We start from the raw sequence: 21,679 nt of genomic DNA, 5'->3' as shown, positions 1-21,679 counted from the left end.
AAAACAGCAAAGAATCATACTATTGATTAGAACTCAATTTCAAGAGAAGCAATTGTAGTTTTCCTTCTAAATGAGAAAGAAAGAGTTTTTATAACTAAGAGAAATAATTATTGTATATCAATAATTTTAATACCACACTGAAAAACAGCCAGGAATAGGGTATCACCAATAACTCCCCAGAACTCTTTCCTTGTAGCCACAGCACTGGTGCCCAAGACAGTCGCAGCCTCCACTATGATGAAATAGAAAGGGCTCTGCCACTTACTACACGTCCAGATGGAGGCACTGGTAACATGGCCTTCCTTGCTACTTGTGCTACTAGACATAAACTGGATCTCCATCCAAGCTCTGACAGTCACTGATGGAATCAATGTCATTGGGGCATGGAAAACAGCACAGTTCATGGTGGGTCATCCTCCTGACACCTTTTAAATGGGCTGAGCTTAGTGATAGGAGACACTCGTAAGGGAGAGTGAACACAAACTTACGCAGCACTGAATAACAATGGCAAATGTAGGAATGCAATTTTCCCAGTGTATTATTTTAGGGATAAGGGCAGAATTACTTACAATTCCTACTTTAAAAAAAACTGTGTCTGGAAAGATTAAACAAGAAGTCATCCTTTGATGCCTCGTCTGGGGAACACTCAGTGAACACTGCAGTAGTAAATTGGCATTCTCAGAGGAGCACTGTAGAAAACAGTCTTTAGTGGATCCTTCTGCTTTAAAAGAAAAAAGTATACGTAAAATAAATTGGAAAAATTACCAAGATATACCTTCGTGTATGTGTGTGTGTGTGTGTGTGTGTGTGTGTGTGTGTTTTCGACCATGCCTGGCCTGGGATTTTGATTTGAAGCTACAGGCCAGAATTCCCGGGTCAGTCAAATACAGGCATACCTCACTGTATTGTGCTTCACGTTATTACACTTCACATAAGTTGCATGTTTTAGAAATTAATGGTTTGTGGCAATAGTGTGGCAAGCAAGTCTATCTGTGCCATTTTTTCCAACAGCATGTGCTCACTTCATGTCTGTGTGTCACCTGTTGGTGATTCTCGTGATGTTTCAAACTTTTTCATTATTATATCTGGCATGTTGATCTTTCATCAGATCTTAGCTAGATCTTCTGGATAACTTGCTGCAGCTTCTACATCAGCACTTGCTGCTTTGCCTTACACTTGTGTTATGGAGATGGCTTCTTTCCTTAAGCCTCATGAGCCGATGGAGAAACAGACAGTTGGCGGAGCAGTCAGAACCCACACAACATTTATCAATTAAGTTTGCAGTCTTCATGTGTTTTACATGACTCTTGAGCATGGCCTTTTAGGTGGAATGACAGGCAGTGCCTACGTTTGTAACTATGAACACCCTCCGTGGTTGGCCCTCCTCCCAGTAGACCCGTCAAGTCCTGCTCTCCTTTCTCATGGTGCTCACTGAAACTTGGAGTGCTGTCCTCTGTCGGGGCATGCGCCAGTGTAACTACCTGCATAAGGTCATTCTCACTCTCCTGGGGCCAAAGCAAGAGAACATTCTTGACTTTTGGGCACCATTTACCAGGGTTGACTTCCTCCTTTTTGAAATGTGTCCTTTTCTTTATGTCCATAACATCCATCTCCTTGACTTTTCTCCTCACTCTTTGAAATTGCCTTCTTCATTTCATTTGCTGCCTCATTTTCCACTGCTTATCTTTAAAATATCCATGTTTCCTGGGAGACCTCTTGGCTTTCTTCTCTCCTTACTGTGTGCATGTTCCCTGGGTGAGCCTCATTCACACCCAGGCTTCCATTGTCAATGCGTGCAATGACTTCTTATTTTGTATCTTGATCGTTTCTTCATTTCAGAGCCCCATGGCCACTTCTGGCTTGGTACAACTACAACCGTGATCATCCTCTTCATTTCCACATCTGCAGCTCTTTTTCCAGCTCTCACGTTTCCTGCAGAAACCTCAGTTACCCTGGACTTCTTTTCTTCTTTTCTTTCATCACACTACTGTCTCCAAGTCCTCTTGATCTTACCCTTTTGGTATTACTTGAATTCATCAATTTCTCTCCATGTCTACTTTCGTTTTCTTAAATCTTCATCATTTCTTCTATGGATGACAGCAATATTCCCTTCTTAGGACTTCTAAAACTGCCCGCCCCCCCCCCGCCCCCCTTTCCCCCCTAATTAGAAAGGAGTCCCAGAGAGATAGCCTGAGACAAAACTGGACATAATCTGAAATGATTTCCATTACAAGTAAAATATGTTTGTCTTCTCTTCTATCTTAACATTTCATTTGCATTGCACATGCCTCTCTAGGCTGTACATGCTAGCCATGTTAGATACTGGATTTTAAACTATGCATCATTACATAAACCTGAATATTCTGTGAAGAGCTTCAGAATGATCCCATGGTTTTGCTTATTCTCACTCCAAATGTTTAACAGAAACATAGCCCGATTCATCTCCCTGTCCCAAATCACTCTTCCCACCATTTATTTCTATTTCTGCTAAAGGGATTTTCTAAAATACAAATCTGATCATGATTGCATTCTTCAGTTTCTTAGGATGAGTGCTGACTCCTTCCTGGCAGGTACCATACTCTTCACAGCCCAGTGACCCCACTGTTACCCCATACTCCTTATTCCCTTCAGCCATAGTGAAGAGTTGTGCTTCCTCTGTCTCACACAGTTTTTGCCTCATGCCTGTGTTCTCCCAGTGTGAAAGGTCTTCCACCCATTTTGTAAAATTCTTCCAATTTCTGTTCATCATTCAGCATTATCTAAAGTATCCCCACAGAGGGAAACTCAATATTATTTAATCATGACATTTTTGCATTTTAATTGTTTGACTATAGTTGTGTGCCCTCATTTTATTACAAGCTTATTGAGGGCTAAGCGAGGTTACATTTTTTCAGGTTTTCTATTGAAGTTTCTGTCATATAGTGGATACTCCGTGCAGATAGTCCTTGAATGAAGATGGGTTCCCTCCCAGTAAACCCGTCATTAGTTGAAGATATTGTAAGTTAAAAATAAATTTAATACACCTAAACTACTGAACATCATAGCTTAGCCCAGCCTTCTTCAAACGTGCTAAGGACACTTAGCCTGCAGTTGAACAAAATCGTCTCACACAAAGCCAATTTCTGTATATATTTTCAGAAGAAGAAATGGAGGGAAGAGGGAAGGGAGAGAAAAATGGAAAGAGGGAAAGAGGGAGGGAGGGAGAAAGCCTCGTCTCCTGCCTGTCTTCTTTTTCAGCCCCAGTGGTCTTGCCTGTAGAGGCAGGGCGTGTCTGCCCTTGAACTTCTTATCTAACCAATTTACAGAATGCTTTATTGAACACTAATCTTAAGCCAGACATCCTGCTATATGATGGATAAAGGTAAATAAGGTAGTTCCTGATAACAAGCAGTTCCACCAGTCCCTTCCAGTGTGCTATTAGGGAAGTCAATAAACTCCTCTGTGTCTCAGTTCAATTCAAAGAGAGGACTCTGGCCGGGCATTGTGGTTCACGCCTGTAATCCCAGCACTTTGGGAGGCCAAGGTGGGCAGATCACCTGAGATCAGGAGTTTCAGACCAGCCTGGCCAACCTGGTGAAACCTTGTCTGTACTAAAAATACAAAAAAATTAGACAGGCATGGGGGCACATGCCTGTAATCCCAGCAACTTGGGAGGCTGAGGCAGGTGAATCACTTGAACCCAGGAGGTGGAGGTTGCAGTGAGCCGAGATTGCACCAGTGCACTCTAGTCTGGGCAACAAGAGTGAAATTCTGTCTCAAAAAAAGAAAAAGAAAAAAAGAGGACTCCAAAAAGAGGATAACAGTAATACTTTTCCAATACATTTGCCATAGGGATTAAGCTCATGTAAAACTACTTAATAATATAATGTGTCTGACAGAAGTGACCCCTCCCCAGTCTCTCTCTCAGACTCCTCTGTCTCTGTTCTTCATCCCAGACCTGTGGTACTATGCCGAGTGGTGGACTAAGACGTCGGGGGTGATATGGAAGGTAAGTCCATGTCCACTTTGTCCTGGCTCAAGGTGCATCTCAAAAATCAGGCTCATCTGGATACGAATCACCCTCTGCCACTCATTAATTGTGAGTGGGGTTTAGGACAACTTACTTTACCTCTCTGAGTGTAAGCTTATTTGTCTTTAATGTGGAGAAATTAAATGTATATTTGTCCTTGTGTTTTTCAGAAAATGGAATAAGTTAGTACTTGCATTAACAACAGTACAGAGATATCATATGCACTAGCTACCCTTCTTACCACCTGCCTAACTTGCCTCCAGGATTCTTGCCTCACTTTCCTCACCATTTTTTAGAAAAGCCTGTATCTTCTTCATTCATTCTCCTATTGTACCATCCCTACTCCATGGCCTTCTCCTGGGTCACTGTTTTCCATGCTTAGTGTTATTACCCTCTGAATTTACTGATGTCTCTAAATCATGTTATAAGGGCCAGAATCAAGAAGAAGTGGTGTAAAGAGAATTAACTTTTATCAATGATCAGTATTACCTGTGGTTCATTTAGTGCTTGGTAGATGCCATCTATGTTGTAATTACTGTAACATGTTTACACTTAGGATTCTGGATCTAGAGCTACCTTCTCCCAAGGAGCAGGATCTCAGCTTTCCCTTTTCTTTTGGAGATAATGTAAGCAGCTGGTAGAAGAGCTTTGAGTTGAGGGGTATAATAGGGGGATTATGAGGCATTGTGTTGGGGCAGAGGACAGAGGGAGCAACTCTGCAGAGTCAGGGAGGCTCCAAAACGGAAGTGACCTTTTGCCCTGGGTTTCTATTACAACTCACTGGAAAATGGTTTACAATGCTGATTTGCACAAATAATACCAAAGGCAAAGGAAGAAACGAAGAAATCCCAGGCTGACTCAGATATAGATCACTCGTGTCTATGAGGAAATCTTGACAGCTTGTGTCAAAAGTTCACTCTTCGTGACTCAAATGGGTGCAATACCAGAAAAAGAGAACCTGATTAGATCAGTGGTTCCCAGACCCCTAGAATGGGAGGACAACTTTGTAATGACCTTTTCTCTCAGATTTTTTCCTAAAAAAGAAAGTGTACTTTTAGAAAAGAATCAATTAAATGATTAAGAACAAAAGTTACTAGGAATTCAGTATCAATTGCATATGAATTTCCATTTTGTTCAGTGAAAATTTGCATTTGAAAATAGTAATTTTAAATGTGAAAATGGTAATAAATATGCCAAAGGTGGTTACGACTTTCAATCTATATGGATTCTTGGGCTTCCTGCAGTCACTTTAAAGTCTCCTGAAGTCCCTTTGCTGTACTTTAGGGTCCAGTGATCTGGGTTTTAATTAGAAGCACTCTTTCAAAGGATTTCTTAAAAAAATTAACAAGTGAAAAGAATTGTACAATTTTAATTTAATTAAACATTTGTTTATTTCATAGATAGTCTCCTTATCCGCATTGTTTTTTAAAATCCCTCCCACCATGTTTTATCCACATTGTTTTTTAACAATCCACAAAAAACAGCAACGATCAATTAGCTGATAACATATTACAACCACATAGAGGCCTAATTTGCTCCTGTTTTAAAAGCATATTAGTGCTAGTTGTGCTCATTAATGGTTACGGTTCTATTAATCAGGAACAAATCCATGTCATCTGAATTTTCTTGCCTCTTGCAACAAGGTAAGCACAGATGGTAGATGACACGGGAGGTGAGTCGCTCTGCAGGTCGGCGCTGCCCGAGTGATCTGTTAGGTGTGTGGATGCACAGACCACACGGTGTATTTCCGGAATGTCTGAAAATGTGGGCCACATGTGACCAACAAGATAATTATGAAACCTGACTGCTGGATATGCTGATGCAGCCAAAAAACATCAAGGACTGTGAGTGAGTTTGGAGGTGGGAGCAGAGAAAATTTCTGCAATGTGTAAAAATGGACCGCTCTCAGAGAAAAGGAGCATTTAAATTCTGCCCAGTTTACGGGTTTCCAGTTCCTGTCCTTTCTCCTGCTCATATCTGCATCTTTCTGATCTCCCGGGAAATCAGCCGCTGCTCTGCCCGGTCAAGCCCCTCCTTCCGGAAGAAGGGCTGAGGCAGGAATGACTCATTGCCAGGGAGTGCCTTATAGAACCGGGTGAAAAGGCAGTGTGACAATATGACTGTGAATTTCTTATCAGTGTAGGCTCACCAGTGATGAGATTAAATGGAAAGAACGTATCCTGCTGTCATCAAGGCCAGTATCATAATCAACTTTTATGATTTATCAGCATTGTAACCTGGGGCTATTACTGCAAGTTTTGAGCCTCCATTTTCTCATCTCTAAAGCAGAGTCACAGGGACCAGGTGCAATGGCTCACACCTGTAATCCCAGCACACTGGGGGGGCCAAGGTGGGAGGATCACCTGAGCCCAGGAGTTCAAGATCAGCCTGGGCAACATAGTGAGGCCTTGTCTCTATGGAAAAAAAAAATAGTAACAATAAAAATGAAAAAATAAAGTAAAATAGAGTCATTGCCTCATTACAGGATTGGATGTGGACTAAATACGATCATATGTGTGAAGTTACAGGAAAAGCCTTGTGGAGCAGGATTAGAAAGAACAGAATGGGATCTAATTGAGATGAAATGAAGACCTCCTAACAATTTCTTATGAAGCTTCCTAAATCTCTTGCATGTGACAGTGTAAGTCTCTTTTCATTCCATCTACCCTTAAGCTTCCCCAGTGGTGAAGAACTGTAGAGCAAAGAGCAGCTTTCGAGGGGAACACTGCCTCGGCCCTCACCTTCGTCCAGGGCTTAACCACTGGACACAACTCAGAATCTTGCATTTATTCTTAATTTAAAGCCTTATTCCAGCCTGAGATGCAGTTCCCTTAGCTTCCTGCTGATCTCTCCTTTAAAATAGTCTCTTTCTCAAATCCAAAGTACACTGAGGTGTGGGGGAGATAACAAAAAGTGAGCTTCATTGACAGGCTCAAGAGGGTCACGTGCATTAAGAGACTGTACAATTCACAGGCCAAGCACGAAGGCCACAGACAGCCTTGAACGTGGGAGTTAAAGTGAGGGTTCTGGGGCCACAATGCTCAGATTGCGTTTAAGCTCTACCTCCTATTAGCTGTGTGACCTTAGCTCTTGATCAAGACAACTTTATCTTTATATATCAGCTTCCTCATCTGAGAAGGATAATTATACCATTAATATCACTGGTTTCCCATGACAATTCAATGAAATGATAGATAAAAAGGGCTTAGACCAGACCTCAATTAATAGAAGGTGTTAATTTTAGCAATAGCTGTATGGCTTAAGAGTTCCTGTCATCCAAGTAACAGGATCAGAGGACACTGTGGCATTAGCATAGCAACATTGGTGGGGACAGCAGGGATGTCGGATGGCGTCTGATTGTCAGGGTTAGTTCGTAGGGTCAAACTCTGCAGCTGCTTTAGAAGAGTGCTGTCGTGTGGGAGATTCGCTCTGTGCATTGGTAGACTATAAGTACAATCCTAAGAAAGTGATCCCACAGGTGACTGAACAGAAAAAATCATAGACCAACTTAAACTTTTCATAGACCATGGTGTATTAATCAGTTTGCATCTAGACCCAAGGGAGAGTAGATGGGGTAAGTTAACAGTTAGGATAGGGTGCAAATGGGGTGGAGGAGTCGTACTCCTGAATCCCAGGATGTGCAGTGTTTCTACACGCACAGGCTCTCTCTCAATGCCACATCCATCTTTCCTGCAGATGGAGTAATTGAGGTTTGAGCAAGATGTCCCGGGTTAATAGCACTCATTTGGTCTCCTGGAGAGACACAGGGATAAGTAAGCCTGGAAGATGGCTGTGGATTGTCCCCAGCTAGCTGAACAGCCCTGGGATTTATTGCATTGCTGGGGCAGAAGACTCTGGGACCAGAGTGGGTGTCACCAGTCGGCGGCTAAGTCAAGGTCTCAGGCATACCGAGTGCTCGTGTATATTTAGTGTGTCCTGAGAAAGGACTGAATGTTTCTTGTATATTTGCTGTATCATGGCTCGTCCATATTTAGAGTAACTTGGATACTTCCCACCCTGATGGCTTATGTTTATTTAGTGTCTTGAGAACACTGGGTGTCTCTTGATCCTTCCCTTCTTTTCTATGTATGTTTAATACCCATTATTCCATTCACTAACGACCTTAACAAGCTCATGGGTTGCATCCATCCCACTTGTCTTCTTGTTTCTATAGTAAGTTATTAAATAATGTAAAGTGTGTATTGGAGTTTACCTATTGGGCGGCGGCCTTGAGGAACTATTTAGCATGCATATTTCCAGTCTGGATAAACAGCCAATGAGCAGATTTGGAGGTCACCCAAAAAGGTCCTGAAGTTAGAATATCTAACCAGCAACCCATCCAATAGTCTGTAGGCAGCACATAATAGACTTTCTACAAAAGTTTGCTAAATTAATAAATGGTTAATATTTTCAAGCACAAAAGAATTATCTTAAGTGTTTCTGTACCTATTCATAACTTTCACTGTGGCTTCACATCAAATATCTGTTTTAGTTTCCACAACAATGCTGGGGTAGGTAGAAGATGATTTGCTATCCTTGTTTTACAGATTGAGAGCCGAAGTCCTGAAATGTAACTTGCTTAAAGTTACACTCAGCAATTCTCAGATGGAACAGACTCTGGAATTCAGATTTTCTGTTTCCTAGTGTTTTGGGGCCATGAGTCTTCCTTTCTTTCTCTGTACAATCCCAGACATGTAGCAGAAGCTGTGTCCTCAGCTGGACCAGGAAGAGCTCATGATTTCCATGAACAGTTGGCTGTGAAAAGTTCAGCACAGCTATGAGACTCAGGCAAAGATGAGAGAGCCAGCACCTTGTGTTGCACGATTCTTTCATTTGACTAATTAAAAAATGCACCTATCTTATTATATCATGTAAGTATGACATTATCATACTTATTATCATATCAGTAGTCTCTAAAAGTTTCCTGCAAAATGTGTGATACTAAAGTTTACCTCCAAGAAGAGTGCTAATGTTTGTATTCACAGAGCATTGCAAAATAGGTTTATCAACCTATTTTTAAGGCATTCAGAAACACAGTGTCATTGCTTTCTTTTTTGATTAAATTAAATTAAATTTTAAGTTCTCGGATACATGTGCAAGATGTGCGGTTTGTTACACAGCTAAACGTATGCCATGGTGGTTTGTCGCACCCATCAACCTATCACCTAGGTATTAAATAAGCCCTGCATGCATTAGCTATTTATCCTGATGCTCTCCCTCACCTACCCAGCAGGCACCAGTGTGTGTTTTTCCCCTCTTTGTGTGCATGTGTTCTCATTTCAGCTCCCACTTATAAGTGAGAACATGCGGTGTTTGGTTTTCTGTTCCTGCATTAGTTTGCTGAGGATAATGACTTTGAGCTCCATTCATGTCCCTGCAAAGGACATGATATTGCTCATTTTTATGGCTGCATAGTATTCCATGGTATATATGTACCACATTTTCTTTATCCATTCTATTATCAGTGGGCATTTGGGTTGATTCCATGTCTTTGCTATTGTGAATAGTGCTGCAACGAACATATGCTTGCATGTATCTTTATAGTAGAATGATTTATATTCCTTTGGGTATATACCCAGTAATGCGATTGCTAGGTCAAATGGGATTTCCGGTTTTAGATCTCTGAGGAATCGCCACAATATCTTCTCCAATGGTTGAACTAACTTACATTCCCACCAAAAGTGTAAAAACATTCCGATTTCTTCACAGCCTCGCCAGCATCTGTTGTTTCTTGAGTTTGTAATATCACCATTCTCAATGGTGTGAGATGTTATCTCATTGTGGTTTTGATTTGCATTTCTCTAACGGTCAGTGATATTGAGCTTTTTTTCATATGCTTTTTTACAGCATAAATGTTTTCTTTTGAGAAGACAGTGTCACTTCTTTGCACTTGATATTTGGAAGGTTCTGCAGAATCCTAAGACTCAGTCCGACATTGCCAAATGTGTGTCAGCCATACCGTAGCTTTCCAGAATTCTCCACTATTTAGATACTTTGGACAATGGAAGAACTTGGCTGTTCTCAAAGCCAGATTCACATTAAGTAACCCCATGAGGGAATTCATTCACACAGGATATAAATTTGGCCATCCACACCCCGGGAGGCAAGCAAGTTAATACTGTTCCCCAAATGATAAAATTATTCCTGCAGATTGAATTTGTAATCTTTGTGCCTCAGAAGAATGAAAAAATAAAACAAATGGAAAAAGAATAAGAAGCAGAAGATAAGAGTAGGGTATAAACAAGCTATTTTCTGTGCCTCCGAGGGCAATACTTAAAAAAGAAATGACCTGGTATCAGTTGCTGGAGCCAACTGACATGCAGGTGACCCTCCCCAGCTCACCCTGTGTGGCGCTGACTGCTTCCATTTAGATTTGCTTCCGTGGTGGATCCTAGCCATGTCTCAGGATTTGCTTTTTTGCCTTTAAGTTGCCAGCTGTGGTCATTGACTACAGTTGTGTGAGGAGGCTGCTCTGAATTTAGCTTGGCTTTCTCTAATTTTAGACACTTGAAGAGGCCCAGGAAGGGATTTGTAATGGGTTACAACATTCTTTCATTTTTGGCCAATGAGTGTCACACAGCTGTGTGTATGTGTTTATGCATCTCGTGTGTGTGTGTGTGTGTGTCTGTGTCTTTCTCTGTGTGTGTGCAGGCACATGCAGAAGATCAGAGAGAGAAAAGGAGGAGAGAAAATGCTTCTGGGACATTATCTGCCACTTTGCTTGTAGAAACCGTAACCTTGGTACTTTTAAATAAAATTAACAGTGAAATACAAAATGAAAATAATAATTCATATTAGAATAATTGCATGTGGACATGCAAAACCTTTTCTCTAGGAGATTGAATATAACTTGGAATAGATACTCAACAAATCATAACATATTAGTAAAACCATGGGAACATGGCAGAAAGCCTTTTTCTCCAAAAAATTGTATATAATTTGGAATTACACCAAATAATTTGGCTTTCAGACCTTGGAACATTTACAAAAACAGTGAAAAATTCTTTGTCTGACAACATAAGAAAGTAATCAACCTATCATAGGAATAATAGGATAAGAAGATCTTACTTTCATTTTTGACACTGAAAAAGGAAATTTTAAATATAATTCCTTTCAAAGTGTGTTCTATCATCATATATATTTGAATTATAAAGTTATCTGTATATATATGTGTGTATATGCAAACATATACACACACGTATAAACATTCATATACTCAAACAGAAAGAATTTATGTAATCATTAGATTGTTATGTTCTAATATTTCCTAAAAACATTTTCTTCAGCCAGGTGTGGTGGCTCACGCCTGTAATCCCAGCACTCTGGGAGGCCGAGGTGGGCGGATCACGAGGTCAGGAGATCGAGACCATCCTGGCTAACACGGTGAAACCCTGTCTCTACTACAAATACAAGAAAAATTAGCTGGGCGCGGTGGCGGGCGCCTGTAGTCCCAGCTACTCGAGAGGCTGAGGCAGGAGAATGGCGTGAACCCGGGAGGCGGAGCTTGCAGTGAGCCGAGATCACGCCACTGCACTCCAGCCTGGGCGACAGAGCGAGACTCCGCCTCAAAACAAACAAACAAACAAACAAACCAAAAAAAACACATTTTCTTCGATATGTTTAATGACTCTATTTACAGTCCATATACTAATCCTAATTTATGTACTTCATTTCTAAGACACTTAAAGATAGCCCCATTGCTTTTTACTGTTTTCGGATTTCTCCATTTAGGGTCTGCAGTGTTCGAATTGTTTTGTTGTTGAGGAACATCCCAAGTATTCTTTCTTCTAGAGCATTCCAATTATAATTTTTTTTTCTGTTAAGCTCTGTAACGAGCTCGAACAAAGCTAAAACAACTAGCACTATGTAAATGTATATTTCCAATTTTAATTTTCATTTTACTTAAGATAATTAGCTGCTATGTGTCTGGCACCAGGAGCTCTGCTAAGCATTTTTCAAACATCTTTTCATTAAATTATTATTAAATTCTTGTATTATTACCTTTATTTTTATTGATAACTAAAGGAAGCATAAGGAGTCTATGAAGTAACTTGCAGAAAAGCTCAGAGCTAGTTAAGTTACTGAGCAGAGACTCCGAAACACTATCCCATATTGTCTCTTTTGGAAATACACATTCTCTTATTTGTTCAAATATTTTAGCTTAAGAAAAGGATGGCATAAACATCAAAGTTAATTACCACAAGTACGCATGTGCTGTTCATATAGATTTCCTTCAATATATAATTGATAATAACCTTCTATTGTAACATACCAGAGGATCTATTTAGAAATTGCTTCTTTTTGTTTTTAAAGATTTTTCTTCTTAATATTAAAACCAATGTGGACCCATTTTAAGATTACTTCAATACTTTTAAGAGTTAAAGCTCATTTTTGTTTTTTCCTCTTTGCAAATAGTGAAATATAATGTGATGGGCTGGTTACGCTAAGGGTGACTCTGATGTTAATTGTGACATATGGATTCCAATGACCCTTGAGAATTAGTCTAAATTTCATCTCTGATTTTTTTTTTTTTTTTTTTGAGACAGAGTCTCACTCTGTCACCCAGGCTGGAGTGCAGTGGCGCGATCCCAGCTTACCACAAGCTCCACCTCCAAGTTTCATGCCATTCTCCTGCCTCAGCCTCCTGAATAGCTGGGACTACAGGCACCCGTCACCAAGCCTGGCTAATTTTTTGTATTTTTTTTTTTAGTAGAGTCGGGGTTTCACCATGTCGGCCAGGATGGTCTCGATCTCCTGACCTCATGATCTTCCCACCTCAGCCTCCCAAAGTGTTCCTGTCTGATTTTTAAAGTTTCCTGATGTTTTGTACAGATAAAAGGTCATATAGATGTAATATCATTTTTCAAAGTCTTGAGTATTAGAAAACAAGTATGATTATTACATCTTCTCTAGATAGGGAATAAAAGACAGTAATTTGTTAGTGAATCAGATATCTGTACAAGGGTTGTTAAGGCAGATAAGGCTTTTGAGGAAACCCCTCCCACTGTTAGAGAAACTAAAGAGGGAAAACCTGGGCTATAATGTCTCTGTATGCTTCCAACTAAGTCAAAAGATCTCAAGGTAAAAGCTTTTCCAACAAATGTTGAAGGCAAATATTGATTTATTATCATCTATTAGCAAGCTATTATCACCTGAGATGTTAATATACTTATATTTTTCTGTGGCAGCTCTATTAATTGGCTACCTTAATTATTAGATAATACTCTCTATATGACCAAATAAGCAAGCAGAGATAAGCTGAAGGCAGCCCTAGATGTTTGTGGAATTTGCTTGTCATCTGCTTGAGTGGCATCTTGAAACTGCTGATTGCTCAGTTGATTTTAATGCTTCTCTTCAATTCAAGTAGAATCATTTAATGCTTTGGGCTTTTATTTTTACTTTTTCCACTATGTGATTTACTTGGTGATACTTGGGCTGTTTCGAATGAGACTGCTAATCACTTTTGCCAAGATGTGTATATATAATTTTTTCTGAAGTGCTCAAAGCACCTTGTATTTTCTGCCAGGCTATCCCTATGCCTCAATGCAGAAAACTTGCCAAGGTTAATGAGCTATTCCGAGTAGATATACTGTAAGCCACGAATGAGGACTGAAAGCAATAAACATTAACAAGGGCTCATTAAAATCTGGTTTTCAAATGAGTGCTCCAAACTTTTCTTTATCAAATAAAAGTATCATCACTTATGAAAATTGAAAGTCCCTTGTTGAACATTCAACTCCTAATTCAAGCTGTAGTATAATATATTCTACATACCTGATGTTTCATTTGTAAGATGAATGGCAATAGGTCTTCCATCATCTTTCCCAACCTATACATTCTATTTTTTAAAAGCCATCAGGGTTTCAAAAATCAGTCTTGCTTCTCAAATTAAGCAGCCATTAAAGAGATTATTTATTAAATTAAAAGGGTTTGAAATGGATGATCCAGTATTTATTCCTTCTTTCCATTATCAGAATTCCAGGCAATCCGGCTGAGCTTGGTGGCTCACGCCTGTAATTCCAGCACTTTGGGAGGCCAAGACGGGCAGATCACTTCAGGTCAGGAGTTGGGGACAAGCCTGGCCAACATGGTGAAACCCAGTCTCTACTAAAAATACAAAAATTAGCTGGGCGTGGTGGCATACACCTGTAGTCCCAATATTCTCCTGAGGCAGGAGAATATTGCTTGAACCTGAGAGGTGGAAGTTGCAGTGAGCTGAGGTCACACCACTACACTCCAGCCTGAGTGACAGTGAGGCTCTGTTTCAAAAAAGAAAAAAAAAAAAAAGAAAAAGAAAAAAAAGAATTCCAATGTTTAACCTGCTGCCTCTTCCTTCATGAGTTAACCTTCTAAGCCATTTGCAGACATCATTTACAAACCCTTGGATGCCAGTTTATCTGATTTATCTTCACTTTCTAGATAACAGTGCTCACTTTACGTTCTTCTGGCCCTCTTAGCTATTCTAAACCTTTCTGGTCATTCTATCATCCCCAACTCTCACAGCATAGCTGATCAGTGGTGATTGAAAGTTATTTTTGTTTGTTTGCTTTGTGTTGTTGAGGGGTGGTTGTCTAAAAGATTTGGCCCTCCTGAAATTGCCACTAGTCTATTCAAGCACTCAAAATAAACATATGGTTTTGTTAAAAACACTAAATTTACCAAGAGAAGTCTCTTAATTACCACTATCCCCTTCCCACCCCAAGATTATTTCTGCTCCTAACTTCCTTCTAGATAGAAATTCGATAGGAGAGGCTAAACTAGACCATTTCTTTACCTACTAAATATTGTGTTGTTGCCATGCTTTCCCGACTTTTCCTATCAAAGTAGTTCCTAAATCATAATCTTCCCTGTCTATTTCCTCCAGCCAGAATCTTACCCCACTGATTTTATTCCCCTAATTAGACAGTTATCCAATCAGCATCCCAAACCAAGCACTGCCTTGTCTAGCTGTTCTAAACTTAAAAAAAAAATACTGGGACATAAGAAGGTTGTTAATAATAGCCTCTCTTAGGCTATTAACATTTCATTTGGAAGAAAACTGTGGTATCAGTTAGATCATCCTATTATTTTTGTCTTTTTCTTGGGAAAGATTTTGATGAAACTTTCACAGAGACACCGATGAATAACAATAAACTCATTCAAGGCTGAAATTGGTATAATGCTATGGACTGAATTGTGTCCCTAAAATTTATATCTTGAAACCTTAACCCTAAGGTGATGGTATTTGGAGACGAGGCCTTTGGGAGGTGGTTCGGTCAGGACGGTGAAGCCCTCAGGATGAAATTAGTGCCCTTATAAGTAGAGACAGGAGAGAGATGATCTCTGTCTCAGCATGTGAGGATGCAGCAGAAGACAGTTTTCTGCAAACCAGGAAGAAAGCCCTCACCAAAAACAGAATCCCCCTGCAACTTGTCTTGGACTTCTCACCCTCCAGAACTGTGAGAAATAAATTTCTGTTGTTTAAGCCAGCCAGTCTGTGGTATTTTGTCACAGCAGCCCAAACTAATATATAAGGATACCACGAAGTTTTCATTTCATGTATCTTCTTAAGCCAACTGGGTGAAATGTCCTTTTTAAAGATGTCTTTCTTTGGTCTACCTTGTTTTATGAAGGTAAAGAACCCTAAATTCTTAAGGCGTTATGAATCTCACACATCTTAATAGGAATTTGACCCATTTATTCCTATTATTCCTCTGACATCTCTTATTTCTCTGACAATCTTTGGAAATTACGGCTTTGAAGAAACGCACATTTTGGTAGGGTTGGTTTGAGAAAGAAATAATTGTATATGCAATGAGGTATCTTCTGGAATATTTTTTTCAGTCCATTAATTTATCTAAAAACCGAAGCTGAAAATAAAAAGTGCTATGTATCCATATGTTCCAAGTTTAGAAAGCTGCTTGTAATTAGAACTCGCTACCTCCTTTTAAGGCTCAAAGAGAAGTTCCAGAGCTAATCTTCCCACTGCACAGTCACCATCACCGCTAGCCCCATCATCATAATCATTGTCTCCTGGCAAATTCAAATGAAGGAATGGGAGATGGAAGTAAATTTGGAGGGAGTGCAAAGTTCATGAAAAGAGCCTCTCTCCTCTTCTGTGGGGGAGGAGCTGGGTGTTTCCTTTTCCCACAATTAGAAAAGGAAGAACCTGAGGGAATCATCAGTAATGTTTGTGCTGAACCAAACTGCCTTTTCCCCTCACTAAACCAGAACTAACGATTGTCTCTCATGAGGATTGGTCAGGCACCAGCCCTGCTCACTGTTTAATATTTTTAAGGGAACAGAAAGACCAGAGGAGAAAACTGGTGAAGCCAAGAGAGGGGAATCGGTAAAGAAGCCAGCACCCCAAGACACCTGCTTTTCTTATTGTCAAGTAGACATGGTAGGATACGGCTGAACTTAATCCGTAGCGTAGATACCTCCAAGAACGAGCAAAAGACTTCAGATTGATTTACCTGTGGTAGGAACTAAGAAAGGAGAGATAAGTGCACAAGAAGATCTTTTCCCATTTCAAGAAAATGTGCATTACTGCGGCTTCTGTGGGACTTCCTGTAGAAACCACATCTGAGCTCCAAGAGAGCCTGCATGGTGACACATGCTGTGCAGACATTGACGATGACTTTTAAAAGAAGTAGGAATCTAGAGGATCAGATCTTGGCCCAGGAAATGAAGGTCATCGTTAAAAAAATCTGTGTTTCCATTTCTGTCCTCCTCACTGCATGACTGGAAGAGCCAAACAGAAACGAGAGCCCAACCACTCCAATACGATCATGCAGTTCCTGTGGATTTTACTCTTACCTGTTTGGGGAAAAGGGAGAAAATGGACTTTAAACCAAAACCGAGATGAGCCAATAAGATAAAAAGAACCAAGTGTTAAATACTAAAATAAAACTATGCAAATAACCCAAATTGACTGAAAGTATGTACTCCAGCCAGATGTCATTAAGGGAAACACCTGAAAGAGGACAATAGAAGCTCAATGTAGCATGGTAGGGGACATTTATGAGAAAAGTCAAACCATTTCTTCATGCCAATGAATTTAAACTTTTTACGTCCTAAAATTACATTAATTTTTTTTACCATTGAGCATTGACCTGGCTCCTATGGGGTGCTGTAGTAGACAGCGTGTATCTGTGAATCTCACTTCTGGAATGACTGTCGATTCCTTATGATCTATCTGCACTCTGTAACATGTAGCTACAGCTATCCCAGCACATATATTTTAGATTGGCCATAGTTTAAAAATACATCCAAAATAATTTCACTTTTGCAAAAATGAAAATTACAGAGGCAAGGTTAGGGGTCAGGATATTATCAAATGTGACTTGAGATCTTGCAAGAGTGAAAATGGAGCTGCTTATGCTAGTATAGAGATAAGAGCCTGAAAGGTAACAAGTTGACTTCAAAACTCAGGATGTAAAATAAAGACTAAGGGCTGTTTGCGGTAGTGCTAGTTTGTCAATGCCTATGTTGTATTGGTTGGTGTTCAGCAGACAGAAGAGGTTACTATCCTTGCTGAACCCAACTAGTTTATCCGGGCCACATATATTTAAATAGTCCCTCCCTGAGTATACTTATATGTTAGTTCTATGTAAATATTAGTCATATAGTAGTTGTACATTGCCCATAGACACTGCAATAAAAAATATAAATAGGTAGTTAAAAAAATAATTAATAAACATTGATATTAAGTGAAAAAATATGATTTAGCATTATAGATTTAACTCCACTATTATTAAAAATTTACACTATAGACTAAATTTTATACTGAAAGGAAGGAGAATTCAACCTCAATTTTTATCTAGTGGTTTTAATTTGTAACTGATTTTCCATTTGTTATTGCGTAATTTTTTTATAAGCAAAGAAACAGTAAACAATATAAATAGCATGTTGATATTTATTAGTCTAATTAGTTGCATTTTCAAGATCCATTTAATATTCAATATTAAAGATTCCATGATCCTCTAAGGAAGAAATATCATCACCTATCATCATAAAATTAAGCAGAGCTTCACAAGATGACATAGTTTTTATTTTTTATGTTTTAATATGCATGATGCATATTAGGTATTAAGTGGATTTGAATATAAGTGATTTTCAGGTCCTGTATCTTATAAGATAAGAAACAATCATCATCGTTTTCACAGAGAACATCTGAACCAACTGTGGTTATGTCTCACGATGATGAAATGCTTTGGGTCATGGGCACTCTTTCCTCCTCCACTGCCTCCATCTAAGAGGCACACATGCCATTTGACGGCAGTGTATTACGCACTGTTCTCCACAGGCCTGAATGGAAGGTCACTTTGACCTGCTGCACATTTTTACTTAAGAACTGCTTTTGACAATAAGCCACTAGCGTACTTGTTTCTAGACTGACTTGAGTTTTTGGCACAATATGAAAAGCATTTGGAAAGTGTAAGTAAAAGCCTTCCGTTTCAGAAGAAATAATGGCCCCATTTGCCATGGAAACCAGAGGACTTTATGAAAATGCACTCAACTGTTTTCTGTAGTGAGCCTAAAATTATTCTAAAAATAAATCGTATTCCTGGCATCTGTTAGCCAATGCACAAAGATTGCATCTCATAAGGTTTTCCCTCTTAGAGAAAAATGCCATGCCACTTGAATATTTCATTTTTCTTATTATTCAGAATGTATGGGACAATATATGTGCTACACAGTAGGGCCTCAATAATCAGTTTTTTCTTAAATTAAATGTCTTTTGAGAGTCAGCAGATGATAATTTGAGTGCTGCCTCTGAACATAGACCATGGTTGAGGAAACCAAATATAGGGTTTTTATGCAAAATTAGAGCAAGTCATATTCAAACATTTTTTTTTCTATAGATAAATTTTATTTATGTCAGGGGAAACTAACAAAATAGAATGTTCAATGATAATGAAAATTTTAACAGACAAATATTGGTGAATAAAAGCAAGGAGCCCAAGTCTCTGACCAGGAGTTCCATGTTACAGACCCAGCTCCAGTTGCTTCAGGTGTTCACGAGGGCAGATGGGGAGCAAGGGTGTGAAGCCATGAACCTGCTCAGTTGTAGGTACCCAGGGCCATTGCATGGGGATCTATTACTTAATTAAACTCTAAAGAAGCCTCATGCCAGGAGGCAAAATGTTATTTGTTACCTGGAAGACCAAGAGGATAGGCTGACTGTGTGACAGGACAGGGCAAATAAAATTCCTGAAGTGAGATGTGGCAAAAGGCAAAGTATAATCCAAACAGATGAGATTCATGTTCGTATCCATATGTCCTCACTGGCTTAAGAATATAGTAATAGACTCATACTGGACAGATTAGGCCATTGGTTAACACGAATATTCGTTAATTCAGTTTTCATTCAACAAATTTGTATGGAGTGCCTCCACGTTCCAGGCACCAGGATGGCTGTTAGGAATGAAGCAATGAACTGAGCACAAGCCTCAAATATTTCATGCTCTTCAGTGACACAGGTGCCTAAACACTCTGCAAATATTATTAAAAGGGGGAGAGAAAATGGCTTCCTAAACCCTCCTTGGAGATATTACCAAGGAATTTTAAGGAGGAGGAAGTGATAGAAATTTGTTTCATCATGGCAGGGCCATAGTACATAACTTATTGTTTGTACCAAGATACTTTTCAGGGTGAATCGGTGTCTGTTTAATAACCGCCTTGGGCCACAGTGTGAACTGAGACTCCTTGGTAGATCAGTACACACAGGTACTCTTCATGCATACTTGATTATTTCTTGGAAACGATCTAACAGTTTATTTTCTGTTTAACTTGCTGTCACTCTGTTGGTAGGGATCCTTACAGCCCTTTATTTTACAATTTGATTGGCCATGAATAAGTTTCTACAATAACATTCAGTTAGGAGCCTGTCGGGACACTTGCTGACCCTCTCTGTATGTAGATGGCAGAGGTTCAGCCTGGCAGGCAGACTTGTGTTTCGCCAATAGGACTCTGCCTTGGTGATCGTTTTTATAAAGAGTTAGGTGAAGTGATGAAGACCTGATGATAATAGGTGTCAATAACCCGGTCCTGGTAGGGTGAATGAATCCCCTGGCTCCATGAAGTTCTTAATAAGCAAGAACAATAGGTCAGGTTTTTAAAGATGGTGTGTTATGGGCACATGCACAAGATAGAGCACTTAAATTTAAACAAAAATAAATCTCCTGCATAAACATGAGAAGGAATAAATATGGCTTAGCAGCAGTATTTGTCAAGGAACGAATACATTTTAGCTATTAATTCCAGCTCTATGGTGTAATATAAAACTTTGGCAGAGACTTGATAGAAGGGATTCATGCTTTAGCTGGATAATTGGGCAAGAATGTGCCTTCCAGCCCTGAGATTCTGTAGTCTTGGAACTACGATAGCACAGCCTGTATCTTATTCACATCTGTCCCCTAGCTATAGATGGCACTAAACATATATGCTGTATAAATCAATAGATGCATTATAAACGATGAGAGCTTAAACAATGATGTTGACAGATTTTGTAGAAGTTTGTATCTTCGTTCACTTGTGTCCCATCTCCCTCCTTACCTGACATCTTCATATCCAATCTCCCACCTCCTCATTGCCAGTTCTCATTTCTTCCTGTATAAACATAGAAGACTGAGAATCAGCCTACGGAACCAAGAAGGACTCATAATTTTGGGAAGGCAGATCTTGTAAATCAGTAATATAATCCTTTTTTTCTCTTGATGCCAATGCATTACTTACGTAAGATTAATCAAACACATCCAAAAGATAACCAGCAACTTCACCTCACAGCTAGTGAACAGACTGGTCTGAGCAAGATTTTCCTGAAAAATCTTGTTATCCACACCCATATTTACTCTTGTTTCTCCTGGAGGCAGAATGTTGCTCTCGGATACAGGCTGGGTGTTTATCCTGTATTTATTCAGATCTAGAAGAAAAAACAGTATATCTATGTTGCCCATCCCATTCCCTCATAAAATTTAGAAACGCTGTTTTATCTCTTTTTGCCTATATTAAATCCTCTTCAGTTAGCCAGTAGGTTGAGGAAAGTGCAGACGACCAGGGTTTAAATTGCCTTACTGCCTAGTCACACTGCTGAGATCTACCGGGTAATTACCCACTGGCCATTGCGTTTCACACCGTGCCCAGCTGGGCTTGCCTAACAGCAATGGCCTTCTCTTTGTTGACAGTTATTTAAAGATGTGGTATCATAAGCCTATTTGTCAAAGTGACCTAACATTTTATTCTACGAGTATCACTGGAAGTAACCTTTAGTCCATAAATTAGTGATTCTGTAACTGCACAGATAGAACTCATGTTATAGACACTCTTCATGCAAAGTTAAAAACTACTCTGGCAGACTCTGCAGCAAAGAAAACTTCTGTCAAGCAGTTCTATTATCCCCAAGATTTCCATTATTTTGTGTAAATTGCCCTTTTTTTTTTTTTGAGACAGGGTATGGCTCAGTTGCCCAGGCTAGAGTGCAATGGCACGATCTCGGCTCACTGTAACCTCTGCCTCCCAGGCTCAAGTGACCCTACTGCCTCAGACTTCCCAGTAGCTGTACTTTCCAGCCCTGAGATTCTATAGTCTTAGAACTGTGATAGCACAGACTGTGTCTTGTTCACTTCAGGTGCACACCATCATGCTTGGCTAATTGTTGTATCTTCTATAAAGATGGGGTTTTGCTAT

At 39.6% G+C, this 21,679-nt stretch overlaps 1 long non-coding RNA gene across 1 annotated transcript, besides 1 other annotated feature; it reads right to left on the bottom strand.

The window, feature by feature from the left end:
* Window positions 5,385–6,584: an enhancer, noted in NCBI's record as "P300/CBP strongly-dependent group 1 enhancer chr13:106571137-106572336 (GRCh37/hg19 assembly coordinates)". NCBI's record gives its function as "activates an origin of replication core promoter dependent on BRD2, BRD4, P300/CBP, MED14 and CDK7 cofactors, with strong dependence on P300/CBP, by STARR-seq in HCT116 cells {active_cell/tissue: HCT116}" and the evidence as "EXISTENCE:reporter gene assay evidence [ECO:0000049][PMID:35650434]".
* LOC124903244 (uncharacterized) lies at window positions 15,666–20,629 on the bottom strand. The gene is made up of 2 exons (XR_007063937.1): window positions 20,549–20,629; window positions 15,666–16,807 (listed from the first exon to the last, which is right to left on the bottom strand). It is a non-coding gene; the product is annotated as an uncharacterized LOC124903244 (long non-coding RNA).
* Window positions 20,630–21,679: the final 1,050 nt, after the last annotated feature.

Source organism: Homo sapiens, chromosome 13, assembly GCF_000001405.40.
Source record: "Homo sapiens chromosome 13, GRCh38.p14 Primary Assembly".
NCBI classification, from domain to species: Eukaryota; Metazoa; Chordata; class Mammalia; order Primates; family Hominidae; genus Homo; species Homo sapiens.
This window is presented reverse-complemented; position numbering and strand designations above follow the sequence as displayed.